The sequence below is a fragment of the Homo sapiens genome, chromosome 5 (genome assembly GCF_000001405.40).
Source record: "Homo sapiens chromosome 5, GRCh38.p14 Primary Assembly".
Lineage (NCBI taxonomy): Eukaryota > Metazoa > Chordata > Mammalia > Primates > Hominidae > Homo > Homo sapiens.
Window position 1 is genome coordinate 150462813 of NC_000005.10, and position 25127 is coordinate 150487939.

At 51.2% G+C, this 25127-nt stretch overlaps 1 long non-coding RNA gene across 1 annotated transcript, besides 6 other annotated features; it reads right to left on the reverse strand.

Annotated features, from left to right (window-relative positions):
• Positions 1362-2087: an enhancer, noted in NCBI's record as "H3K27ac-H3K4me1 hESC enhancer chr5:149843737-149844462 (GRCh37/hg19 assembly coordinates)". NCBI's record gives its function as "activates a minimal SCP1, AML or CMV promoter by ChIP-STARR-seq in naive H9 embryonic stem cells {active_cell/tissue: H9 hESC(naive)}" and the evidence as "EXISTENCE:reporter gene assay evidence [ECO:0000049][PMID:30033119]".
• Positions 12704-23180, reverse strand: NDST1-AS1 (NDST1 antisense RNA 1). Its single transcript, NR_105061.1, has 3 exons — positions 23089-23180; positions 22417-22487; positions 12704-12947 (listed from the first exon to the last, which is right to left on the reverse strand). It is a non-coding gene; the product is annotated as an NDST1 antisense RNA 1 (long non-coding RNA).
• Positions 14008-14177: an enhancer, noted in NCBI's record as "experimental_82371 CRE fragment used in MPRA reporter constructs". NCBI's record gives its function as "activates a minimal promoter by MPRAs in K562 erythroleukemia cells, with activity observed for the introgressed 5:149856468 or rs76684277 variant allele {active_cell/tissue: K562}" and the evidence as "EXISTENCE:reporter gene assay evidence [ECO:0000049][PMID:34662402]".
• Position 14093: a transcriptional cis regulatory region, noted in NCBI's record as "Neanderthal adaptively introgressed variant 5:149856468 (GRCh37/hg19 assembly coordinates) or rs76684277 in the experimental_82371 CRE". NCBI's record gives its function as "modulates activity of the experimental_82371 enhancer by MPRAs in K562 erythroleukemia cells {active_cell/tissue: K562}" and the evidence as "EXISTENCE:reporter gene assay evidence [ECO:0000049][PMID:34662402]".
• Positions 22756-23411: an enhancer, noted in NCBI's record as "H3K27ac hESC enhancer chr5:149865131-149865786 (GRCh37/hg19 assembly coordinates)". NCBI's record gives its function as "activates a minimal SCP1, AML or CMV promoter by ChIP-STARR-seq in naive H9 embryonic stem cells {active_cell/tissue: H9 hESC(naive)}" and the evidence as "EXISTENCE:reporter gene assay evidence [ECO:0000049][PMID:30033119]".
• Positions 22756-23733: a biological region, named in NCBI's record as "H3K27ac hESC enhancer GRCh37_chr5:149865131-149865786".
• Positions 22944-23733: a silencer, noted in NCBI's record as "silent region_16511". NCBI's record gives its function as "represses an Ori minimal core promoter by ATAC-STARR-seq in GM12878 lymphoblastoid cells {active_cell/tissue: GM12878}" and the evidence as "EXISTENCE:reporter gene assay evidence [ECO:0000049][PMID:35858748]".

Genomic DNA, 25127 nt, shown 5'->3' on the forward strand with positions numbered 1-25127 from the left:
GCAGAGACCTGAATCATAAGGACTAAGTTATGAGGGAAGATTGGGAAAGGGTTCCTGACAGGAAGAACAGTCTTTGCAAAAGCCCTGAGCTTAGCATGAGGATGTGAAAGGAGGATAAAGTGGCCAGGAGTAAGGAGGAGAACCAGAGGGAGAAGGGAGATGAGGTGGGGACAGGGCTGGCACCACGAGCCTGTGACCTCTACAGTTGCACAGGGCCCATGCTTGGTTAATGCACTGTGGTTGCTGTCCTGAAATTCTTTTTTTTTTTTTTTTTTTTTTTTTTGAGACGGAGTCTCGCTGTGTCTCCCAGGCTGGTGAGTGCAGTGGCGTTTTCTCTGCTCACTGCAACCTCCGCCTCCCAGGTTTGAGCGATTCTCCTGCTTCAGGCTTCTGAGTAGCTGGGACTGCAGGCCCATACCACCATGCCCAGCTAAGTTTTGTATTTTTAGTAGAGATGGAGTTTCAGTATGTTGGCCAGGCTGGTCTTGAACTCCAGACCTCAGGTGATCTGCCTGCCTTGGCCTCCCAAAGTGCTGGGATTACAGGTGTGAGCCACTGCACCAGGCCCTGAAATTCTTAATAGTGGTTGAACAAAGGCTTCTGCATTTTTATTTTGCACTTGGGCCCTGCAAATTATGTAGCTCGCCGTGGTTGGGAGGTTGGCAAAATAACTGGGTGTCTGTGAGTAGAGATGTGAAGGCTTCTTGGCTGGTGTTGAGTGAATGAATGAATCTGCTTTTGCAGAGTTCATCTGTGAGGCTGTCAGAGGGCCACCTTTGCCTAGACCAGGGGCTGCTGCTGTGCAGAGAGGGGTCACATTCAGACATGGCCCCAGAGTGCCCCCAAATTCTGCAGTATCTGTTAGATTCTTCCGGGCCCACTGCCTGCAGGGTTCCCAGGGCTGTGTGCACCAGGTCTGAAGCAGCATCATGAAAAGGTGGGTAAAGTCAGGCTTACCCCACCCCCTGCATTGGCAAACAATAACTCCTCCACCCGAGGTAGAATCTTGCCTGTGAAGCCTCAGACTTTAGAGCCAGACAAACTTGAGTTCAAATCTGGCTTTCACATTCTGATTAGTGGATGTGACTAAGTGTACTTTATGCAGGTGATTTGCTTCTCTGAGCCTCAGTTAGTTCCCTCATCTGTAAAATAGGGATCACTACTTCTTAGAGTTGTTGAGAGGATTAAACGAGGTAATAAGAGGAAAGCTTTTGGCACAGTCAGAACTTAGAAAATATTTGCAATAATAATAGTATTATGGCTGGGCACAGTGGCTCACACTTGTAATCCCAGCACTTTGGGAGGCCGAGGCGGGTGAATCACCTGAGGTCAGGAGTTCGAGACCAGCCTGGCCAACATGATGAAACCCCGTCTCTACTAAAAATACAAAAATTAGCCAGGCGTGGCGGCAGGATTAGTCGAGATCGCGCCACTGCACTCCAGCCTGGGCAATAGTGCAAGACTCCACAAAAAAAAAAAGTATTATTATACAATCTTTGCAGAATTGGGTAAACATTTGCTTTTGCCCCTAAATGTCTACATAGTCATGAACAGGTCACTAAATCCCCCTGAGCCTGTTTCCTCTTCTGTTCAATTGGGATGATAACAAGCTAACCCATCTCTAACCGGGGTGGTTGGGGATGAACCAACAGGATCACTGGATCACCGTGGAGCTTCTTTGTAAATTGATGTGCAGGTGTGGGCCGCTTGCACATTCCAGACCCACCCCTATCTCTCCCATCTCAGGGCAGGCTTTCTCCAAATCTGCCCGCCCGGAAGGAAAAGCACCCTTCAGTTCTTGGCAGTCTCTGGATTCCCAGCCCTGAGTTGCTGCTCTCACACTGGGAAGTCGGCCTGGGAGTGAACATTAAGTTCAAGGTCCCTGGTTAGGCAAAAAAGAGGCTGATCCAGAAGTTGGAGTAGGGGAGGGGGAGGATGAGCTGAGTGAGGACAAAGGAGCTGGAGCCAAAATCCCTGTTGGCCTTGCTTCCTGCCTCACTCTGAGGCAGGAAGCAACCAGAAAGCTGCAGAGAATTAGTCTCTGAAAAAGGACCTGAGCAACAGTCTCGGGCTGGGCAGAGCCCCCACTTCATCTCCCACATACGCTCCCCAAGGCTGATTTGCAGGAGCCTCTAAGACCGCTGGGAAGCCCTAAGCAGCACCAACCTGAGAAAGGGAGTCTCACCCCATAGGAGTCCTTGGCCGAGAAAGCGGGAAGCCGGGAAGGGGAGGCTAAAAACCCCCAGAGCTGGGTGCGGTGGCTCACGCCTGTAATCCCGGCACTTTGGGAGGCCAAGGCTGGTGAATCTCTTGAGGTCAAGAGTTCAAGACCAGCCTGGCCAACATGGTGAAACCCTGTCTTTACTAAAAATTACAAAAATTAGCCAGCCGTGGTGATGGGTGCCTGTAATCCAAGCTACTCGGGGGGCTGAGGCAGGAGAATCGCTTGAACCCAGGAGGCGGAGGTTGCAGTGAGCCGAGATCATGCCACTGCACTCCAGCCTTGGCAACAGGGCAAGACTCCATCTTAAATAGAATAAAAATAAAAATAAAATAAAAGCCCCAGGAGCCATCCCAGAGCAAGGAACAGGGGCTCTGGGGTCAGGCTGCTTGAGTCCAAGTCTAGGCTCTGCCACCAACTAGCAGTGTGACCTCAGGGTTCTGTGGCCTCTCCATGCCTCAGTGTTCCTAATCTGGAGCCCGGGGATAATAGTCATAGCTCCTGATAGTGCTGCTGGGAAAACCGAGTGCTCTGCAGTTCCCAGCAAAGCCTGATAGGTAGTGAGTGCTTTAGAAAGGTTAGTTATTATTATATATTCTTGTAAAAATGAGGCCACCCAGCAAGTTCTGTCAGAGTCTGCTGTGTCTCCTGATAGATGGGTTCAAAGCCTTCCCTTATATTTTGGGCAGGCAGCATTCATTTATTCATTTGTTTATTCAATAAATATTTATGGAGCATATTTATGGCAGCAAAGAGTGGCAGATGGGGGGCCCTAGGGCCTGATTGCTTCCCAGAGGGGCATTTGAGTGAGAACTAGCATTTATTCAGCAACAATAGGCTTAGCTTATACACACTCAGATTCTTACCAGAAATGGGCATTGCCCAGGTAGAGGAGGGAGCCCAGGTGGAGCCACGGACACGGGGCCACATAGCCACTCAGTAGCAGCCCTAGAGACTTGAATCCAGGCCATCTCACTCCAAAGCTTGTGCTTTTTCAAATCTAGATTCCAGGCCTGCCTTCCTGCTGTGCCTCCCATCTCCCTCCCCAAACCAGACTTTGGCGGAGCCAGATCCCTAGAGGCCAAAGGCCAGGTTGTTTTCTGTTGCCCACTGTGGCAGGATCTCTGTCATTTCCTTCCCAGTTCTCCTAACCATGCGGAACAACCTTGGGGCCTTCCTCCGAGGGGAAACCCAGCCTGGAAGCATCCCGTGGAAAATGTGGCTGTCAGTGACCTCTGATGTTTGTCTCTTCGGCTGCCGAGGGTCTGGGTGCCTGGGAGTGCAGCAAGGTGGGGGGCTTCCTCAATAGGTGATGCCTATGACTCTCAGGAGTTTAGACTTGGCCTCCCTCTGGCTCTGTAGCCTGGGACAAGTCATAGCCCCTCTCTGGGCCTCAGTTTCCCCATCTGTAAAAATGGGAATAGGCCAGGCATGGTGGTTCATGTCTATAATCCCAACACTTTGGAAGGCTGAGATAGGAGCATTGCTGAAGCCCAGGAGTTCAAGACCAGCCTGGGCAACATAGTGAGACCCTGTCTCTACAAAAATTTTCAAAAATTGCTGGGTATGGTGGCTTATGTCTATAGTCTCAATTACTTGGGAGGCTGAGGTGGGAGGATTGCTTGAGCGCAGGAGGTCGAGGCTGCAGTGAGCTATGATGGCACCACTGTACTCCAGTCTAGGTGGCAGAGTAAGACCGTGTCTAAAAAAAAAGAAAAAAAGGAAGAGGCATGGCATGGAGTTGAGGAACAGTAGCGAAGTTCTCACACTGGCCCTCTGGCTGGGAGTTTACGTGCTGATGTCAAGTCCTCCTGCCTTCTTTTCCTCCTGGGTGCTTGTGAGGTTCAAATGGGACTGTGGCTACAAAAGGGCTTTGGAGTGGAATCCAGAGCTGGAGAGCAGAGCAGATGTAGAAGGAAGCTGATTATTTTTGATTGAGACCCTCAGCACTTAGCTCCGCCTTCATCACATCTCACCCAGGCTGCTGCCTGTGGCCAAGTACCCATTCCCCAGACCCTCTGCAGGACCCATGGTTCCGGGTCAAGGGTGAGCCTGGGGCAAGGTTCTAACCAGGAGGTTTCTGAGCCTGACATGAGCATCCTGCTATGGTGTGAATGTTTGTGTGCCTCCTAAATCCATGTTAAAATCCTAACTCCCAAGGTGATGATACTAAAAGGTGAGGTCTTTGGGAGGTGATTAGGTCACAAGGGCAGAGCCCTCATAAGTGGGATTAGTGCTCGTATAGAATAGGCCCAAGGGAACTCATTCACCCCTTCCACCATGTGAGGATGCAGTGAGAGGGTGCCATCTACAAATGGGGAAGCCAGCCCTCACCAGACACTGAATCTGCCATAGCCTTGATCTCAGACTTCCCAGCCTTTAGAATGGTGAGAAACAGGCTGGGTGCAGTGGCTTACACTTGTAATCCCAGCACTTTGGGAGGCTGAGGCGGGCAGATCACTTGAGGTCAGGAGTTCGAGACCAGCCTGACCAACATGGTGAAACCCCATCTCTACTAAAAATACAAAAATTAGCCAGGCATGGTGGCGGGTGCCTGTAATCCCAGCTACTCAGGAGGCTGAGACAGGAGAATCGCGTGAACCCGGGAGGCAGAAGTTGCAGCGAGCCAAGATCATGCCATTGCATTCCAGCCTGGGCCACAGATCAAGACTCCGTCTCAAAAAAAAAAAAAAAAAAAAAAAATTTAGCTAGGTGTGGTAATGCACACCTTTAATCCCAGCTACTCGGGAGGCTGAGGCACAAGAATCGCTTGAACCCAGGAGGTGGAGGTTGTAGTGAGCCGAGATTGCACCACTGCACTCCAGCCTGGGCGACAGAGCAAGACTCTGTCTCAAAAGCAGAAGAAAAGAAAAAAAATAGAATGGTGAGAAATAATTTATGTTGTTTAAAAACCACCCAGTCTATTTTGTTATAGCAGCCCAAACCATAAGACACGAAGACATATCCCAAAGCTGAAAAGTCACCCACCTGGACACAATAGCTATGGGGGGGCCCTCCTGCAGCCTCCCTGACGTCCACCATGCTGGGTTTGTGCCTCGACTTCCTCACAAGTGGTGATGGGAGAGGGAGTTTGGGAGTAGGAAGAGAAGCCTGTGGCTACCCAGGGGACATTCCTTCTGGCAGAGCATGACATTCACCTTGTGCCTAATTTGGGAAACCCCTTCTGTTCTTGGGTCTCAGTTTCCCCATCTGCACTGTGAAAGGCGCCATCACACGCCCTCAGAGAGCCCTTCTGGCTCTCCAAGCCCCAGACCGCGGGCCTCTGACTTCTGCCCTCCCCAGGCTCCTGAGGGATCCAGCCTTCAGCAAATGGAGATCAGTTCCATCCTCAGGAGATTCCATCTGGGATTTTGACTCCCCTGCTCCATCTGCCACTGCTGCCCCCAGATGCCCCAGAGTGGACAGAAACCAAGGGAAGGAGGCAGGGGCACACCCCCTTCCCAGGAGGACTGGAAGGCAGGACCCTCACTTCCAGGCACACATGGATGGAGAGGTGCCATGCTGGAGGGATGGTAGGAGAGGTAGTTCTGCAAGGAGCATGCCCATCCCCTATGCCACAGGCCGGCCAGATGGTGGGGGCAGCCAAGGAGGGCTCCTTGCTCCCGCCCCACCCCTCAGGCTGTACAGGGATCTGGATTTCTTTCCATACAAAACATGTGTGGGTAGAAGCCTTCAAATGCAGATTTGGGGCTCATGAAACATTTTATTATTTTTAAATTTTTTTGTTTATTTTTACTTTAAGTTCTGGGATACATGTGTAGAACATGTATACCTATGTAACCTGCTTTGTTACATAGGTATACGTGTGCCATGGTGGTTTGCTGCACCTATCAACCTGTCACCTAGGTTTTAAGCCCCACATGCATTAGCAATTTGTCCTGATGCTCTCCCTCCCCCGACCTCCCAAACCCCACCTACAGGTCCCAGTGTGTGTTTTTCCCCTCTCTGGGTCCATGTATTCTCATTGTTCAACTCGCACTTATGAGTGAGAACATGTGGTGTTTGGTTTTCTGTTCCTGTATTAGTTTGCTGAGGATGATGGCTTCCAGCTTCATCCATGTTCCTGCAAAGGACATGATCTCATAACGCTTTTACACTGTTGGTGGGAATGTAAATTAGTTCAACCATTGTGGAAGACAGGAATCATCCTCAAGGATCTAGAACCAGAAATACCGTTTGACCCAGCAATCCCATTACTGGGCATATACCCAAAGGAATATAAATGATTCTATTATAGGCCAGGCGCGATGGCTCACACCTGTAATCCCAGCACTTTGGGAGGCCGAGGCAGGCGGATCACCTGAGGTCAGGAGTTTAAGACTGGCCTGATCAACATGGTGAAACCCTGTCTCTAATGAAAATACAAAAATTAGCCAGGCCTGGTGGTGTGCACCTGTAATCTCAGCTACTCGGGAGGCTGAGGAAGAAGAATCACTTGAACCCAGGAAGCGGATGTTGCAGTGAGCCGAGATAGCACCATTGCACTCCAGCCTGGGTGACAGAAACTCCATCTCAAAAAAAAAAAAAATTCTTTTAATCGTTCTATTTTAAAGATACATGCACATGTATGTTTATTGCAGCACTATTCACAATAACAAAGACATGGAACCAACCCAAATGCCCAACGCCGATAGACTGAATAAAGACAATGTGGTTCATGAAACATTTTAATCTGGTGGAAGCACAGTTATAGCATTTCAGAACCTTGGTATGCTGTGGAATTCGAGAATCTCAGAGGCATAGCATCCTAGAATTTTACAAAAGTGAGTCATAGGATTTAAGGTTTCTAAACTATGCTGTCCAGCACTGCAGCCGCTAGCCACATGTGGTCATAGAGCACTGAGAATGTGACTAGTCCAAGTTGAGATGTGCTTTAAGTAGAATACACAGTGGATTTGGAAGACTCAGCACAAAAGAAAGAATTTAAACATCTCATTAATCATTTCGTTATATTAATTACATGTCAAAATGATATTTTGGGTATGTTGGTTTAATACAATATATTTCTTATTTTTAAAATTTTATGTATGTATGTATGTATGTATTTATTTATTGAGATGGGATCTCGCTCTGTCGCCCAGGAATGCAGTGGCACAATCTTGGCTTATTGTAGCCTTGACCTCTGGTTCTCAAGCAATCCTCCCACCTCAGTCTCCTGAGTAGCTGAGACCGCAAGCACACACCACCACACCCCACTAATTTTATTTATTTTTTGTGGAGACAATGTCTCACTATGTTGCCCAGCCTGGTCTCAAACTCCTGGGCTCAAGTGGTCCTCCTGCCTTGGCCTCCCAAAGTGCTGGGATTATAGGCATTAGCCACCCACTGTGCCCAACCAAATAAAATATATTTCTTATCTATTTATTTTTGAGATGGAGTCTTGCTCTGTCACCCAGGCTGAGTGCAGTGGGGGTGATCTCAGCTCACTGCAACCTCTGCTTCCTGGGTTCAAGCCATTCTCCTGCCTCAGCCCCCTGACTATAGGCGCATGCCACCACGCCCGGCTAATTTTTTGTATTTTTAGTAGAGACGGGGTTTCACCATGTTGGCCAGGCTGGTCTTGAACTCCTGACCTCGTGATCTGCTTGCCTCGGCCTCCCAAAGTGCTGGGGTTACAGGCGTGAGCCACCATGGCTGGCTTTTATTTTATTTTATTTATTTTTGAGACAGAGTTTCGCTCTTGTCACCCAGGCTGGAGTGCAATGGCGTGATCTCGGCTCACTGCAATCCCCGCCTCCTGGTTTCAAGCAATTCTCCTGCCTCAGCCTCCCGAGTAGCTTGGATTACAGGCGAGGGCTACCAAGCCCGGCTAATTTTTGTATTTTTAGTAGAGATGGGGTTTCATCATGTTGACCAGGCTGGTCTCAGACTCAGCCACCTCAGATCACCTCAGGTGATCCACCTGCCTCGGCCTCCCAAAGTGCTGGAATTACAGGCATGAGCCACCACACCTGGTCTTTACTTTTTGAAATAATGAGAGGAGTCATTATTTAAAATAATGAGGCTATATATCAACATATAACCTCACTATGTTGCCCAGACTGGTTTCAAACTCCTGGGCTCAAGTGATCCTTCTGCCTTGGCCTCCCAAAGTGCTGAAATTACAGGCATGGGCCAAGGTACCCAGCCCTTGTTTTTTGTGTATTTATTTTTTTTAGAGACAGGGTTTTGATCTGTCACCCAGGTTGAAATGCAATGACACAATCACAGCTCACTGCAGCCTCAAACCCCTGGGCTCATGCGATCCTTCTGCCTCAGGCTCTGAATAACTGGAACTACAAATGCTCACACCATGCTGGGCTAATTTTTTTTAATTAATTTTTTGTAGAGACAGTGTCTTGCTATGTTGCCCAGGTTGGTCTCAAACACCTGGACTCAAGCAACCTTCTCACCTCGGCTTCCCAAAGTGCTGGGATTACAGATGTAGGCCACCTTGCCCAGCCAAAATATATGTCTAAATTTAATTTCACTTGTTTCTTTTTACTTTTTAAAATGTGGTTACTAGAAAATGTGACTGTTCATATGTGGCTTGCATTATATTTCTTTTTTTTTTTCTTGAGACGGAGTCTTGCTCTGTCGCCCAGGCTGGAGTGCAGTGGTACGATCTTGGCTCACTGCAACCTCTACCTCAAGGGTTCAAGTGATTCTCCTGCCTCAGCCTCCCAAGTAGCTGGGATTACAGGCGCCCACCACCACACTCGGCTAATTTTTATATTTTTAGTAGAGACAGGGTTTTGCCATGTTGGCCATGTTGGCCAGGCTGGTCTTGAACTCCTGACCTCGTGATCCACCCGCCTCGGCCTCCCAAAGTGCTGGGATTACAGGCGTGAGCCACTGTGCCCAGCCAACATTTCTAACGAATTAAGCAGTTTTAGAAAATTAGGCCAGGTGTGGTGGCTCAAGCCTGTAATCCCAGCACTTTGGGAGGCCGAGGCAGGCGGATCACAAGGTCAGGAGATCGAGACCATCCTGGCAAACATGGTGAAACCCCGTCTCTGCTAAAAATACAAAAAATTAGCCGGGCGTGGTGGCGGGCGCCTGTAGTCCGAGCTACTCGGGAGGCTGAGGCAGGAGAATGGTGTGAACCCGGGAGGCAGAGCTCGGAGTGAGCCGAGATCACGCCACTGCTCTCCAGCCTGGGCGACAGAGCAAGACTCTGTCTCAAAAAAAAAAAAAAAGAAAAAAGAAAATTAGAATCATATTTAAAATCTCAGAATCAGGAAAAAATTGTGGCATTTCAGAATTTTAATGTGACAGAATTTTAGAACCAGATTTCTAGATCATGACATCGCTGACTGAATTTTAGCACTAACTCTCACAGCCTGGAAGAACTTGAGAAGAATCCTGGTCCCTTGCCCACCCAAGGCAGGGATCCTCCTAGCCCACCGTAAGCAGCGGTGGTCCAGCCTCTGCCTACCCCTCTCCTTTGCTGGGTAGAGAACTCCCCCCTGACAAGGCCACTGGGTGTTTTGAATGGTTAGGGAGAGTTTCCCGATGCTGGGTGGTGCCTGCTTCCCTCAGCTTCTCCCATGCTCTCAGTGGGTTCCCACACCACCTGTGGGGGCTCACAGGACAAGCCTGAGTCTTCCTTCCCAGCAAAGGCAAGAGTGCTGGGTCCTGCCTCTCCCCTTACCCGAGCCACTGTCCTACAGGCTACAGGCCCTCCCTTGACACCAGTCTCTGCAGGTGGGCTTCAGGGACCCACACCAGGACTCTCAGCTCCTGGCAGGCCTCTCTGCTTCCCCATCCCTCAGCAAAGCTGTTCCTGGGACCCCAGTAGTGCAGGGGTCCTGCCAGCCTCTCCCGATTGGTAGATTACCTTTTCTTTCCATCTGGGTGACTGGCCCCTACATCCTGGTCTCTCAGTCCTGCCTGTTCCCAGCCCTGGGGAGAGGTGGGATGAGTGACTACAGGTGCTGGGGTGAGGGGGGGCACAGGAATCTCAGGTCGATTTCAGGAGCCCCAGGTCTGCCTGAAAAATGCTTTTTTTTTTCAACTTTAAGAGACTGAGGAGGAAGAAGGAAGAGGCTTTCTCATTGACAGAGTCACGAATTCCAAGGCAGTGCTGAGGGGCAGTGAGTCACCCAGAGGTCTCCACACAGAGCAGAAAGGCTGGAATCAGTCAGGCGGGGTCCTGGCGGAGTAAAACTAGAGCTGGGACTTGAAGGAAAGGGGTGCTGGGACTGTGATGAGGTTGGGGGGAGGCATTCTTGGCAGAAGGAATGCTGGACACATGACCCAGTCCCAGCCTGCCTGGATAGAGGGGTCAGAGGGTGACAGGATGGCCACGTAGGTCAGTGACTGAGGGCAGCCTGGAGGTTAGCCTTGGGTGTGTGTGTGTGTGTGTGTGTGTGTGTGTGTGTGTGTGTGTGTGAGAGAGAGAGAGAGAGAGAGAGAGAGAAAGAGAGAGAGACAGAGACAGACAGAGAGAGAGAATGAGAATATCCCAGTGAGCTATAGGGGAGCATTAGGTAAAAGTAACAGTAACAACTATAGTTTGGCTGGATGTGATGGCTCACGCCTGTAATCCCAACACTTTGGGAGGCCAAGGTGGGTGGATCACCTGAGGTCAGGAGTTCCAGACCAGCCTGGCCAACATGCCAAAACCCCGTCTCTACTAAAAATACAAAAAAGAATTAGCCGGGCATGGTGGTATGCGCCTGTAATCCCAGCTACTCAGGAGGCTGAGGCAGGAGAATCGCTTGAACCCGGGAGGCGGAGGTTGCAATGAGCCGAGATTGTGCCATTGCACTCCAGCCTGGGCAACAAGAACGAAACTCATCTCAAAAACAAACAAACAAACAAACAAACAAAAAACTATGCCAGGCATAGTGCTAAGCAATTTCCTAGTATTTCATTTAATCCTCTCAACAACCTTATAAGGTAAATACTATTATCCTCCTGCAAATAAACAATTGAAACCAAGTTAAATGACAGTAATTGAGGGCTGACCCTTGATTCTAACACAAGACAGTCTGATGTCAGAGCCCAAGCACTGGATGGAGGGCGAGTTGCAGAAGAAGGGAGGTGGGATTTGTATGGGGCATGCAGAGTCTGAGCATAAGTGAGTGTGACCGCATGCTTTGTGGGCTATGGGGCTTATCCCTGCCATTCCCCTCGCTCTTCCCACCCGCAGCCCCAGCTCCATCTCACCCCAGACACAGCCCAGACAGGTTGGAGTGAAGAAAGGGCCTTGGAATGATAAGAATGTCCATGCCTGTTGGAGCAGAGAGCCCCAGACAAGGGCTGGCCACCACACCGGTCCCAGAGCTGACTTCCCACAGGTCAGCACTGCTCCCTCACCCCCTGCTGGTATGTCTATAAGCACCTAGGAATGGCATCTGGGCTCAACTCTGGGAGTCCTTACCGGCTTCCAAGATACACAGGATAGGCAGAGGGGAATGCTAATAGACATTCTTCCAGGTCTAGTCCCAGCTCACCTGCTGGCCACCGCTGGTCTAGGCAGGCCCCTCTGACTCCCTGGGCCTCAGTTTCTCCATTTCTTTCTTTCTTTCTTTCTTTCTTTTTTTCAGACAGAGTCTCGCTCTGTCACCCAGGCTGGAGTGCAGTGGCGCAATCTTGGCTCACTGCAAGCTCCGCCTCCCGGGTTCATGCCATTCTCCTGCCTCAGCCTCCTGAGTAGCTGGGACTACAGGTGCCCGCCACCACGCCAGGCTAATTTTTTGTATTTTTAATAGAGACGGGGTTTCACCATGTTAGCCAGGATGGTCTCGATCTCCTGACCCTGTGATCCGCCCGCCTCGGCCTCCCAAAGTCCTGGGATTACAGGCTTGAGCCACCGTGCCCGGCAGTTTCTTCATTTCTATAAGGAGAATTGGATGTGTTCAGGGACAGGAGAATAACACAGAGAAACAAAGTGGTCTTGTGTGTGTGTATGGAGTGATGGGCATGGAGAACTGCAGACAACCTCCAGGCCAGGCAACTTCAACCACCCCTTCCTGCTTCACTCATTGGGAGCATTTTTGGATTCTGCTGTGCAGACACTGGGATCCTGAGTCAGCCACTTAACCTTTCAGTGTCCGTTTGAACCTCTCCCCTCTTCTGGGGGTTAATCTAATGTTTTGGTTTGAATGATGTCAAAAGTGTTAGTTCTAAAATGAAGAGAATCAGAATCGCAGAATGAGGAGGTCAGATGGTGGAGGAGTGGATGAGAAATGGCCTGTGGTGAGGGCAAGTCCAGGGCAGAGCCCCTCTGACCAGCAGCTGAGAGGATGGGAAGGAACAATCCCTGGACGGCCCTTCACACCTACCGCCCTGACGGCACCTGAGCCTAGCACTCTGCTCGCCAGGCCTGGACTCAGCCCTGGGCCCTGGACCAGGCCTTATCCTCAAGGGACTTTGAGCCTCTAGATGATAAGGGTCATCTAAAGACCACTTGTGCTTGGCAGTGTTTTACTTTTGTCAGGTTGTAATTGGTGCATTACAATGAACACAGTAAAAGGGGAAATGAACTGATTGACATTTATTTGTAGAAGCTGTCATCTTCTCTGTGTGAGCATTTTGTAGATCTTTTGGCCTCCATTCCTGTTCTCTTAGTCAAGCTAAATGGTCCAGGGACTGAAGATCCCACAGCTTGGCTCTTTTGCAAGGTGAGGGGATCTCCTGCAGGTTGGGCAAAGCTTCATTTTCTCTTCTGTACAATGCGGGTGAAAAAAATCTCCGCTGTGTCTACCTCTCAGGGCTGCTGTGGGGCACCAAGGAATTGGTGTACAGAATGAGAAAGTTCATTTGTTCTTTCTTTCTTTCTGTTTTTTTTTTTTTGGCGGGGGGGCGGTGGGGGGACGGAGTCTCGCTCTGTTGCCCAGGCTGGAGTGCAGTGACGTGATCTCAGCTCACTGCAAGCTCTGCCTCCTGGGCTCACGCCATTCTCCTGTCTCAGCCTCCCCAGCAGCTGGGACTACAGGCACCCGCCACCACGCCCAGCTAATTTTTTGTATTTTTAGTAGAGACAGGGTTTCATGAGGTTAGCCAGGATGGTCTCCTTCCCTCCCTCCCTCCCTCCCTCCCTCCCTTCCTTCCTTCCTTCCTCCTTCCTTCCTTCCTCTCTCTCTCTTTCTTTCTTTCTTTTTTTTTTTTTTTTGAGATGGGGTCTCACTCTGTCGCCCAGGCTGGAGTGCAGTGGCGCAATCTTGGCTCACTGCAACCTCCGCCTTCCGGGTTCAAGCAATTCTCCTGCCTCAGCCTCCCAAGTAGCTGGGACTACAGGCGCATGCCACCATGCCCAGTTAATTTTTGTATTTTTAGTAGAGACGGGGTTTCCCCATATTGGTCAGGCTGATCTTGAACTCCTGACCTCATGATCCACCTGCCTCGGCCTCCCAAAGTGCTGGGATTACAGGCGTGAGCCACCTTGCCTGGCTTCTTCCTGGTTTTTAGAAAGTACTTTCTGGCCAGGTGCTGTGGCTCACGCCTGTAATCCCAGCACTTTGGGAGGTCAAGGGTGGCAGATCACCTGAGGTCAGGAGTTTGAGACCAGCCTGGCCAACATGGTGAAACCCCCATCTCTACCAAACAAACAACAAAAAACAAACAAACAAACAAAATTAGTTGGGCGTGGTGGTGGGTGCCTATAATCCCAGCTACTCAGGAGGCTGAGGCAGGATAATTGCTTGAACCTGGGAGACAGAGGTTGCAGTGAGCTGAGATCGCGCCACTACACTCCAGCCTGGGCAACACGAGCGAAACTCCGTCACAAAAAACAAAACAAAACAAAACCAAAACCAGGAGGAAAGTACTACATGTGAAATGGATTGTGCTAGCAGCACACAGGAGTGAGGGATGAAGGTCTGGGAAGGCACAACATGCATCTTTAGGCTCTGCCTGAAACAGGAAACCTGGACCCCAAGACAGGACTTCTTTGGGAACCCACTGGAAGTGCTCTTCAAACAGCAGTGGCACTGATGAAAGTGGTGTGTAGAAGGAAAGGGCACGAGGGAATCCCGTGGAAGTGAGGGAAGGAGGCACAGAGCCCAGGTGGTCTTGGTGAATTTGGGGGCTTATGGCCCCTAGGTACTGGGAGGTAGTGTGAGTGGTGACAATAATTGCATCTTTTAGTTGGATGGACCCGGATTCCAAACGTCTTCTGCCACCCCTGTCTGTGTGACCTGGGGGAAGTTGCTGTACCTCTCTGGGCTGCTGAAGTAACAGATACAAGAAAGCAGGTGGCATGCATCAGAGTCAGTAATTAATTGCTGTGAATTACCCACATCCCCTATATCAGTCTTCGGTTTCTACATTTTATATCCATTGTATGGCTGAAGCAGGGATAGCCTTCCCATTTTACAGATTTTCTCTGCTGTTTGTTTAACAGATATCAAGGTCTGCCAGGAGGAAAACAGTCCTAGCACTTGAAAAGTTCAGTGTGTGTGTGTGTGTGTGTGTGTGTGTGTGTGTGTGTGTGTGTTGGGGGAGGGAGGGCGCAGTGGGGGGCGGAGGGAAAGAGAGAGGAAACTGTTACAGCATGTGGTCAATGCTGTAATTATGGTGACCATGTTCTCCAAACCACAAATCAGGTCACGTGGTCTGACAGAGGCTATTTTCTGCCTCCACTGAAGTCCAAACATGAAATCACATGTAGTTACACATTCATTGAATCACCTTTTCTTTTTTTTAAAGAAGCAAATGACATGAAATTTGGATTGTCCTTGACAAATCCTGCTATATTCCCAGAAAATCACTAGAGCTGTGACTGGGGCCCATACAGACCTCTAGCAGGAGCAAGAAGGTTTCCTGGACCAAGCGCTACTTAAGTGGGACCTTGAAGGCTAAATAGGTTTCCAGGCAGAGAAAAAGGTGGTGGCCTGGATGCCCTTGGGACAGGACTTACTCTTCCTGCTCTAAAGACAGCACTGGCCGGGTGTGGTGGCTCACGCCTATAATCTCAGCACTTTGGGAGGCCAAGGTGGGAGGATCACTTGAGCTGGGGAGCTCAAGACCAGCCTGGGCAACATAGGGAGACCCTGTATCTACAATTTTTTTTTTTTTTTTTGAGACAGAGTTTCGCTCTTGTTGCCCAGGCTGGAGTGCAGTGGCGTGAATTCAGCTCACTGCAACCTCCGCCTCCCAGGTTCAAGCGATTCTCCTGCGTCAGCCTCCCAAGTAGCTGGGATTACAGGCACCCGCCACCATGCCCGGCTAATTTTTTTTTTTGTATTTTTAATAGAGATGGGGTTTCACCATGTTGGCCAGGCTGGTCTCGAACTCCTGACCTCGTGATTCACCCGCCTCGGCCTCCCAAAGAGCTGGGATTACAGGCGTGAGCCACCGCGCCTGGACTTTTTTTTTTTTTTTTGAAACGGATGGAGTCTTGCTCTGTCACCCAGGCTGGAGTGCAGTGGCGCAATCTCGGCTCACCGCAACCTCTGCCTCCCAGGTTCAAGCGATTCTCTTGCCTCAGCCTCCCGAGTAGCTGGGATTACATACGTGCGTCACCATGCCTGGCTAATTTTTGTATTTTTAGTAGAGACCAGGTTTCACCATGTTGGCCAGGCTGGTCTTGAACTCCTGACCTCAGGTGATCCGCCCGCCTTGGCCTCCCAAAGTTCTGGGATTATAGGCATTAGACACTGCACCCGGCAATTCTTTTTTTTTTAAGAGACAAGGTCTCACCCTGTTACCCAGGCTAGAGTGCAGTGATGTCATCATGGCTCACTGCAGCCTCGATCTTCCAGGCTCAAGTGATCCTCCTACCTCAGCCTCTCAAGTACCTGGGACCACAGGCGCACAACACTATGCCTAGAGTATGTATGTATGTAGAGACGGGATCTCCCTATGTTACCCAGGCTGGTCTTGAACTCCTGGGCTCAAGTGATCCTCCTGCCTCAGCTCAGCCACTGTGCCCAGCCTCTGCAAAATTTTTCTTTTTAAATTAGGTGGCACGTGCCTGTAATTCCAGCTACTCAGGTGGCTGATGTGGGAGGATTGCTTGAGCCTGGGAGGTCCAGGCTGCAGTGGGCCATGATCACACCACTGCACTCCAACCTTGGCCACAGAACAAGACCCTGTTAAAAAAAGAAAGAAAGGAAGAAGGGAGGGAGGGAGGGAGAGAGACAGAAAAGTAGCTTGCTGGGAACTGGTGGTGCTGGCTGAAGTAGGCAACAGTGTTTGTTTTCAGTTACTTTTCACTTTCATTGTTCCAAAGACCAGCCCCAGCCTCCTAGGAAACAAAATTGTTACAGACTAAAACAACGTGGTTACACTGCGTTGTATCTTCCTATGCATTACGGCACTTTCTCACAGTGGACCGTATAGTCTTTGAGGACAGGAACCACATCTATCTTATTCATCTCTGTGTCTCCCTATTTCCCTTCTGCCACCAGGATGGTGTGAGGAAGACTATAGAAGAGGCACTAATAATTGTTGAATGAAGAGTGAAGTACCATTGATGGGCATTTTGTTAGGTAGACAGTGTCCTCTGTTTCATAATGAACCTGTGAACTTTCATTTCATCTGTTTATTCAGCAAGTATGTGCTGGTTGCCTACAATGTGCCTGGTGCTGTTTGGGGCACTGGGGCTCAGGGCGTCTGAGACACACACAGTCCTGCCCACATGGAGCTCACAATCTAGAGGGAGAGAGTGGCAGCTGACAGGTAACTACGAGGGTGATAAAGAGGGAGATGTGAAGTGTATACAGGAAGCCTGGTTTGGATTAGGGTCTGAGGAAAAGCCCAGGAGGAAATTAAGTTTAATTGGAGACTTATAGCTGGGGATGGTGGCATGTACCTGTGGTCCCAGATACTAGAGATGCTGAGATGGGAGGATTGCTTGAGTGCAAGAGTTTGAGGCTGCAGCAAGCTGTGATCTTGCTCACCGTACTTCAGCCCAGATGACACAGCGAGAGCCTGACACATTTAAAAAAAAAAAAAAAAAAAAAAAAGGCTGGTAATCCCAGCACTTTAGGAGGCCGAGGCAGGCAGAGACAGGCAGATTGCTTGAGCTCAGGAGTTCAAGACCAGCCTGGGCAACATGGTGAAACTCTGTCTCTATAAAAAATTAAAAATTAGCTGGGCTTGGTGGCATATGCCTGAAGTCCGAGCTACTTGGGAGGCTGAGGTGGGAGGATTGCTTGAGCCTGGAAGGTCAAGGCTGCAGGGAGCCGTGATCACACCACTGCACTCCAGCCTGCAGGAAAAAAAGAAAAAAGAAAAAAAGAAAAAAAAAAATCTCAGACCTAAAGGATCACAATGAATCATTCATCTAACATTTAAACAGTCAACCCTCTATACCCACAGATTCTGAATCTGTGGATTCGACCGACCATGGATCGAAAACATATTTTAAAAAATTGTCTGTATTGAACATGTGCAGACTTTTTTTGGGTCATTATTCTCTAAAAAATATAGCAATTCTTTGCATACAATTTACATTGTATTAGGTATTACAAGTAATCTAGAGATGATTTAAAGTATATGGGAGGATGTACATAGGTTATATGCAAATATTAAGCCATTTTATATCAGGGATATCCACACATTTTGATATCCATGAAATGTCCTGGAATCATTCCCCCATGGATACTGAGGGACAACTGTAACTGTACAGTGCTTGTCCTATAACAGATAACACACTAAGGGCTTTACATATTTAACTTATGTAATTCTCACAACAGCCCTGGGAGGTATGTTGTACTATTATTATCTACACTTTAGAGAGGAGGGCTGACCACAGAAAGTTTGAAAAACTGGCCCAAAGTCACATAGTTTATATGTGGCAGAGTCAGGATTCAAACCCAGGAAGCCTGGCTTGAGTCCATACTTTATTTTATTTATTTTTTTATTTTAAACTCTAATTTCATGGCATATTATGGCATCCCTACTCTAAATGGGAAATTAGGTAAAGGGGAAGGTGGAGTATACTGCGGAGGGCGGTGGAGCCAATAAGGCAGACAAGGCAAATAATTTATCCTGGGAACTATGGGCCATTCTGGTGGTTTTAATTAGGAAATGGTCATGATGAGGTTGCAATAGAGTCAGAGAGAGGGAGAGACACAGTGAGGAGGCTGTAAACATGGTCACGGCAGAGACCTGTGCAGCTTGGACTAGGGTGGTCGTGATAAAGAAGAGGGCCAGGTGCAGTGACTCACACCTGTAATCCCAGCACTTTGGGAGGCCGAGGCGGATGGATCACAAGATAAGGAGTTCAAGACCAGCCTGGCTAAGATGGTGAAACCCCATCTCTACTAAAGATACAAAAAAATTAGCCGGGCATGGTGGCAGGTGCCTGTAGTCCCAGCTACTCGGGAGGCTGAAGCAGAGAATTGCTTGAACTCGGGAGGTGGAGGTTGCAGTGAACCAAGATCGCGGCTCTGCACTCCAGCCTGGGCAACAGAGCAAGACTTCATCTCAAAAAGAAAAAAAAAAAAAAGAAAGAAAAGTGGGGTTGGGTTAGAGAAAAAAACTGGACATAGGACCTATGGGACTGGCTCATGGATGGGATGTAGGGACGAGTGGAGCATCAGGTTTTAGGACTGAACATGTGAATTGGACACACAGGAGGAAGAGAAGAAGCAGGTTGGTGAGTTCAGCCTTTGACTTGTTGGGTTGGAGCTGACTTTGGGACAGCCATCGAGGGTGTGAAGTGGGTAGTGGGAGCCACCTGGGGTTGAGGATGGAGTCTAGGCAGGGGGGCCCCTCAGCACAAAGATGGTCCTGTGGAGAGGGAGGAGCCAGGCTCTTAAGAGCAGTCTTCCTCAGAACCTCCCAGGGCGTGGTTAGAAATGTAGGTCCCATGCTTCACCTGGACCCACGGCAGCCACCTCCCTGGGTGGGCCCGGGCCTCGCCTCCTTATAGGTTCTCCGGGTGACAATGAGTTGGAAGGATTTGGGCCCAGCTCAGTGAAGAGCAACTCGGAAGACCTGAGAAGATGAGCAAGGGCTGCCAGAGACATGGAGTCGCCCCAACTCACAGGCTGCCTCCAAATGCTATGGATCTGCCACTCCCCTAGTGAGCCAGCGAGCTCAGCTCCCTGACCTGACTGGCCTGTTGGCTTCTGGCCCTTCCCTTCCCCTCCACATTCCCACAGGTTACTCTTATCACCTCTTTCACCTGTCTGCTCATTCGGCCAGGCCCTCAGGATAAGGTCTAGTCCGTGGACCTTATCACATACAAGGTCACTCATCATCTGCTCCTGACCAGCTCTCCAGTTTTCTTGCTCATTTTTTCCTCCCTGCTTCCTCCATCCCCTTCCCCCATGCAACACTCTGCTTTTCCTGAGCCTTCCACGTGGTCTTTGCACGAGTTGTTCCTTGTGCTGGGAATGTCCATCTCCCCACCCTGATCCCATCCATTCTTTCTGACCCTGCTCAGAAGCTGCCTCCCGTAAAATCTCCCTCATATGCTCCCCTCTGGCCGGGCACAGTGGCTCATGCCTGTAATCCCAGCACTTTGGGAGGCTGAGGTGGGTGGATCACTTGAGGTCAGGAGTTCAAGACCAGCCTGACCAACATGGTGAAACCCCATCTCTAATAAAAATACAAAAATTAGCCGGGCGTGGTGACAGGCACCTGTAATCCCAGTTACTCTGGAGGCTGAGGCAGGAGAATCGCTTGAACCCAGGAGGTGGAGGTTACAGCGAGCTGAGATCTCACCATTGCACTCCAACCTGGGTGACAGAGTGAGACTCCGTCTCAAAAAAAAAAAAACAAGGCTCCCCTCTCTTCCTTAAGCCACAGCCCACAGCATTATACTATATCTCACCAGCAGGCACTCAGCTCCACCAGCCTCTGGACATAAGGAGGGACATGCAGGTCATCTCCAAACAAATATGGACACTTCTTGGGAGTGCAAGCTCCCGTCTCTTTCAACTCTGCATCTGCCTTACCAGGAGCACAGTGCCTGGCACAGAAAAGATGCTCACAGGGCCTCATGCAGCTGGAAGGGACCCTCTAAGGCAGAAATTAGCATGACAAAGACCCAGACCATCTTCAAGGATTTTAGACTGCTGAGCACAGGAACACAGATCACCAAGGAGAATTTGCTGGTCTATGCTGGTTACCCTCACCAAACTGGTACAGTGACAGGACCATGTTCTAGGAAGTCACAAGCCTATCTCTGTATGTGGCCTGCAGTTTGGGCTTGTGGCCATCACCATCAGGTCCAGTCCTATCTGACTATACCCAGTCCAAAGATGTCACATGGTCACATATGGAAGTCAGAAGCTTGGTCCCGTCTCCCAGCATCTCACTTTGTTAAGGCCTCCGCTTCTTTCCCCCTCTGTGATATGAGTAGGCTGACAGAAAGCCCCTTTCCTCAACACAAGGAGGTTGGCTTTTGGAGGAAACAGGAGTCTGTCCCACTCTTACGCATCTGACTTGGCTTCTCTGTCCTCCTTTGCTTTGCTCTGGTGGCTTGTATATTTTTTGAGCTTTGTTCCTACAGTTAGATAATCTTGAGCCTCTGAAGGTCCTTAGGATTCCACCAATCCACTGTTTTCCAAATTTGCCCCAGCCTTACCCCCAGACCGGCAGATTCAGGGACTCCAGGGGCCTGGCGATCTGCATCCTTAGCAAGCCTCTTAAGGGATTCACTCATCTAACCCCACCCACTCTGTTTTTTTTTTTTTTTTTTTTGAGTCGGAGTCTTGCTCTGTCACCCAGGCTCTCTGCAAGCTCTGCCTCCCGGGTTCATGCCATTCTCCTGCCTCAGCCTCCGAAGTAGCTGGGACTATAGGCACCCGCCACCACGCCTGGCTAATTTTTTGTATTTTTAGTAGAGACAGGGTTTCACTGTGTTAGACAGGATGGTCTTGATCTCCTGACTTCGTGATCCAGCCGTCTCGGCCTCCCAGAGTGCTGGGATTACAGGCGTGAGCCAGCATGTCTGGCCTTTTTTTTTTTTTGAGACACAGTCTCAATCTATTGCCCAGGCTGGAGTGCAATGGCGTGATCTCGGCCCACTGCAAACTCTGCCTCTCAGGTTCAAGTGATTCTCCTGCCTCAGGCTCCCGAGTGGCTGGGATTACAGGTACGAACCACCACACCCGGCTAATGTTTGTATTTTTAGTAGAGACAGGGTTTCACCATGTTGGCCAGGCTAGTCTTGAACTCCTGACCTTGTGATCCACCACCTTGGCCTCCCAAAGTGCTGGGATTATAGGCATGAGCCACCACTCCCAGCCTTTTTTTTTTTTTCTTTGAGACAGAGTCTTGCTCTGTCACCCAGGATGGAGTGCAGTGGCATGGCTCACTGCAACCTCCACCTCCTTGGTTCAAGTGATTCTCTTGCTTCAGCCTCCTGAGTAGCTGGGATTACAGGCACCTGCCACCATGCCCCGCTAATTTTTTTTTTTTTTTTTTTGTATTTTTAGTAGAGATGGGTTTCACCATGTTAGCCAGGCTGGTCTCCAACTCCTGACCTCAAGTGATCCGCCCGCCTGAACCTCCCAAAGTGTTGGGGTCATAGGCATGAGCCACCACACCCGGCCTTGTATACTTTTTGAGCTTTGTTCCTACAATTGGATACTCTAAATTTTTTTTTTTTTTTTTTTTTTGATACGGAGTCTTGCTCTGTCACCCAGGCTGGGGTGCAGTGGCACGATCTCGGCTCACTGCAACCTCCACCTCCCGGGTTCAAGCGATTTTCTCCTGCCTCAGTCTCCTGAGTAGCTGGGATTACAGACATGCGCCACCACCCCCAGCTAATTTTTGTATTTTCAGTAGAGAGGAGGTTTCACCATGTTGGCCAGGCTGGTCTTGAACTCCTGACCTCGTGATCCGCCCGCCTCAGCCTCCCAAAGTGTTGGGATTACAGGCGTGAGCCACCGCGCCCGGCCCAGTTGGATAATCTTGAGCCTCTAAAGGTCCTTAGGAATCCACCAATCCACTGTTTCCCAGACTCAGGATCTCCAGGGCCGGGTGATCTGCATCCTTACAAGCTCCTTAAGGGATTCACTCATCCAACCCCACCCTGCTCATTTTACAGGCTGGCTCATGGGTGGCAGAAAGCCCTCCACTGGGAGCAGGCCGATCCGAGTGCCAGCCTAGGCTCTCATTAACCTGCCAAATCATCTCATCTCTCTGAGCCTCATTGTTCCCATCTGTTTAACGGGAACAACCACTGTCATCCTGCCTAATTTGCAGAGTCCTTGGGATAGCTAGAATAACAGGGGTTGGGGGGCAGGCTCAGCGGGAGAAGAGATTTGCACAAGGTCATTTACCTCTTCATCTGCTTGTTTTGTGCCAGGAGAGAGGATTCTGCTGGGAACAACTTGTTGGGAAAGATGACATTCTAGTAAACAATGAAACCAGTAAATGAACCACATAATCACGATAAAGGGGTTTTCGAGAGTCAGGGCAAAGGTGTGTGTTGGGGGAGGGAGGGTCTGCCCAGGAGGGGTCATTCTGGCAGAGCACTGGTGGTCGGGGAGCTGTCCCAGGAGGTCCTGGAGAGCTGTCACAAGCCCAGGGGTGGAAGAGCCTGGAGGCCCTCTCGAGCCCAGCCAGAGCGTTCCCAGGGCCCTCGGAGCCGCCGCGGGCGCGGGTCTTTGTCTCCCACATTCTCTCTGCCGCCTCTCCCGACCCCCAGCGCTGTTTCGTCTCTGACCCCGAATAACTTGTTGGTTTCCCCCCGGGCTTTGTTTCCCGGGGGTCACCGCCTCGGGGACGCCGGGCAGCCGCCCCGGCCCTCGTGGGTCCTGCATCTGACACCCCCTCCGGCCCCCGCCCCCTACCCGCTCGGAGATAGGGGTCAAAGGCAGCCCGCGTCACGTGGTCGCCGAGCAGCACCGAATCGGCCGGGAGGGCCGAGGGAGAATCCGGGTGGAAGTCGAGAAATCCAGCCCCGATAGCAGCGCTCGGTCCCGCCCCGGCCCCCGCCCCGGGGCGCTCACCGCACGCCCGCCGGCCGCCCCGGCCTCCGGAGCTCTTCTCTGGCCGGCACCCACGCGGCATCACGGGATCGAACCCCGCTCCCAGCGGCCGCGATTCGGGGAGGTAGGCGCTGGGCCGAGGAGGTAAGGGGAGACGGGCTTGGGGGCTCTCGGCGCACGGGTACGCCCCTCTGGGCTAGGGGGCGAGGCAGCGCGCCCCAACCTTCAGTCTCCAGGGAGACCCCTCCCCGCTGCGGGACGAGGGGGAGGCTGCGAGCTGCCCCGGCGCAGCGCCGGGCCGGGACTGGGGGCTGGGCACCGGGAGGGAGCGGGAGGGGGAGGAGAGCGGGCGGGAGGAGGCGGCGGCGGCGGCGTGGAGCGGGGGTGGGAGCGGCGGGAGGCGGCCGCGAAGGGGTTAACCCTGGCCCGGGCCGGAGCCCGGAGGCGCACGCACGGCCCGGGGGACCCAGGCGTCCCGCTCCTCGCCGGGAGCGCCCCTTCCCCCGAGTGGCGCCCCAGCCGTGGCAGGTAAGAGGCCGAGAGGGCCCGGGCCTGCCAGTCCCCTGTCGCCCAGCCGGTGGGGCCCGAGCCCGGCGTGCAGGCCGCGCGGGGCCCCCAGCGGCCGCCGGCGCAAGTTTGGTGCGGGCGGGCGCCGGGCGGGCGGGTGGAGTCGGCCGGGCCCCGCGCGCGGGGGTGGGAGGACAAAGGGTAGGGGGCCGCGCGGGGCCGGGGGCAGGCTGGGGTGCGGGCGAGGGCAGCGCGGCAGCTGTAGGTCACGGATAATGTCACTCACGAGGAATGCCCCCTCCCCCTCCCCTGCTCCCGAACAGGGGAAACTTTTGTCTAGCGAGGGAGGGGGTTAGAGGCCGGGTCCTGGCTTCGCGAAGGCTGAGGCAGCCGGACCGGTTTTCTGCGGGCTCTGAGCGGCCTGCTGTCTAACTCCCCTCCTCCCTCAGGGTCTCGGGAGCAAGAAGTTCTCCCTTTGCACGCAGCTCTTTAACGCCCTGGGACAGGGGTGAGGAGGGGGCGCCGGTGGGACGGGTGGGCTCTAGGACCGGCCGGGAATCTGGGGACTGGCCACTTGGCTTTTTGCAGATTCGAGCAGCCCGGTGTGCCCTGCGAGGCTAAGGGAATACAGAGCCCCACCCCCTGAACGCCCATTGTTGCCCTCCCCACCCAGGAGAGCTTTCAGAATGGCCTGCGGGCAGTTTTGCCCCCAGGTCTCTTCAGAGCGACCTGGCTGTTTGTCAGTTTCCAGCGGTGTGACCTTGAGTGGGTTCCTTACCTTCCCCTAGCCTCAGTTTCTTCACCTGTAAAATGGGGAGAATGGTATTTGCTAGAATGAGGATGAGAGGAGTGTGTGGTATTTCAGTAAATGGTGTCATGCTTATATTCAACAAGTACATTTCACGTTTACTGTGTGTTAGGGCGCTGGACTAATTCATTGCTTTACATACATTCTCTCATTTAATTCTCCCGCATTACTATTAACCACATTTTACGGAGGGGCAAACTGAGGCGCAGGGTTGTAAAGGTCACACAGATAGAAAGTGGTGGAGCTTGGATTTTACCTCCCTCTCTCAGCCTGTGTCTCAGCCACAGATCTCTAGAGTGTCTTGCTGTGACAGCTCACAGTTTATTTCTCCTTTTTTTTTTTTTTTTTTTTTTACAACTTTGGCCCTGTACAGTTTCATTTTCAATTGAAATTATGGGGACATCTGTCCTCTTCCCCATTTTCCCCACCGGCAGGTAATGCTCTCTTCTGCCTGGTACTTGTTCCAAGTGAGGTCTTGTGCCCTGGCTCTTGTTAGCATGGGCAGCTGGAGCAGGAGGGAGGTCAGTTGGAGACTGGGCCTGGAACTCCGTAATGGTCCAAGTGCTGTTGCTGGCTGCTGTGTCTATGGCAGTGCGGATGGTGCAGGGAGAAGCCTGTCTCCCTGGCTCTGACTGGAGACAGCTGGTGGCTTTGTCAACAGGCCTCTCTCCCTAGCACCCAGGGACAGCCACATCTTTACTTCTCTTTCAGACCAGGTTACTTTCAGATCAGCAGGGGGCAGAGG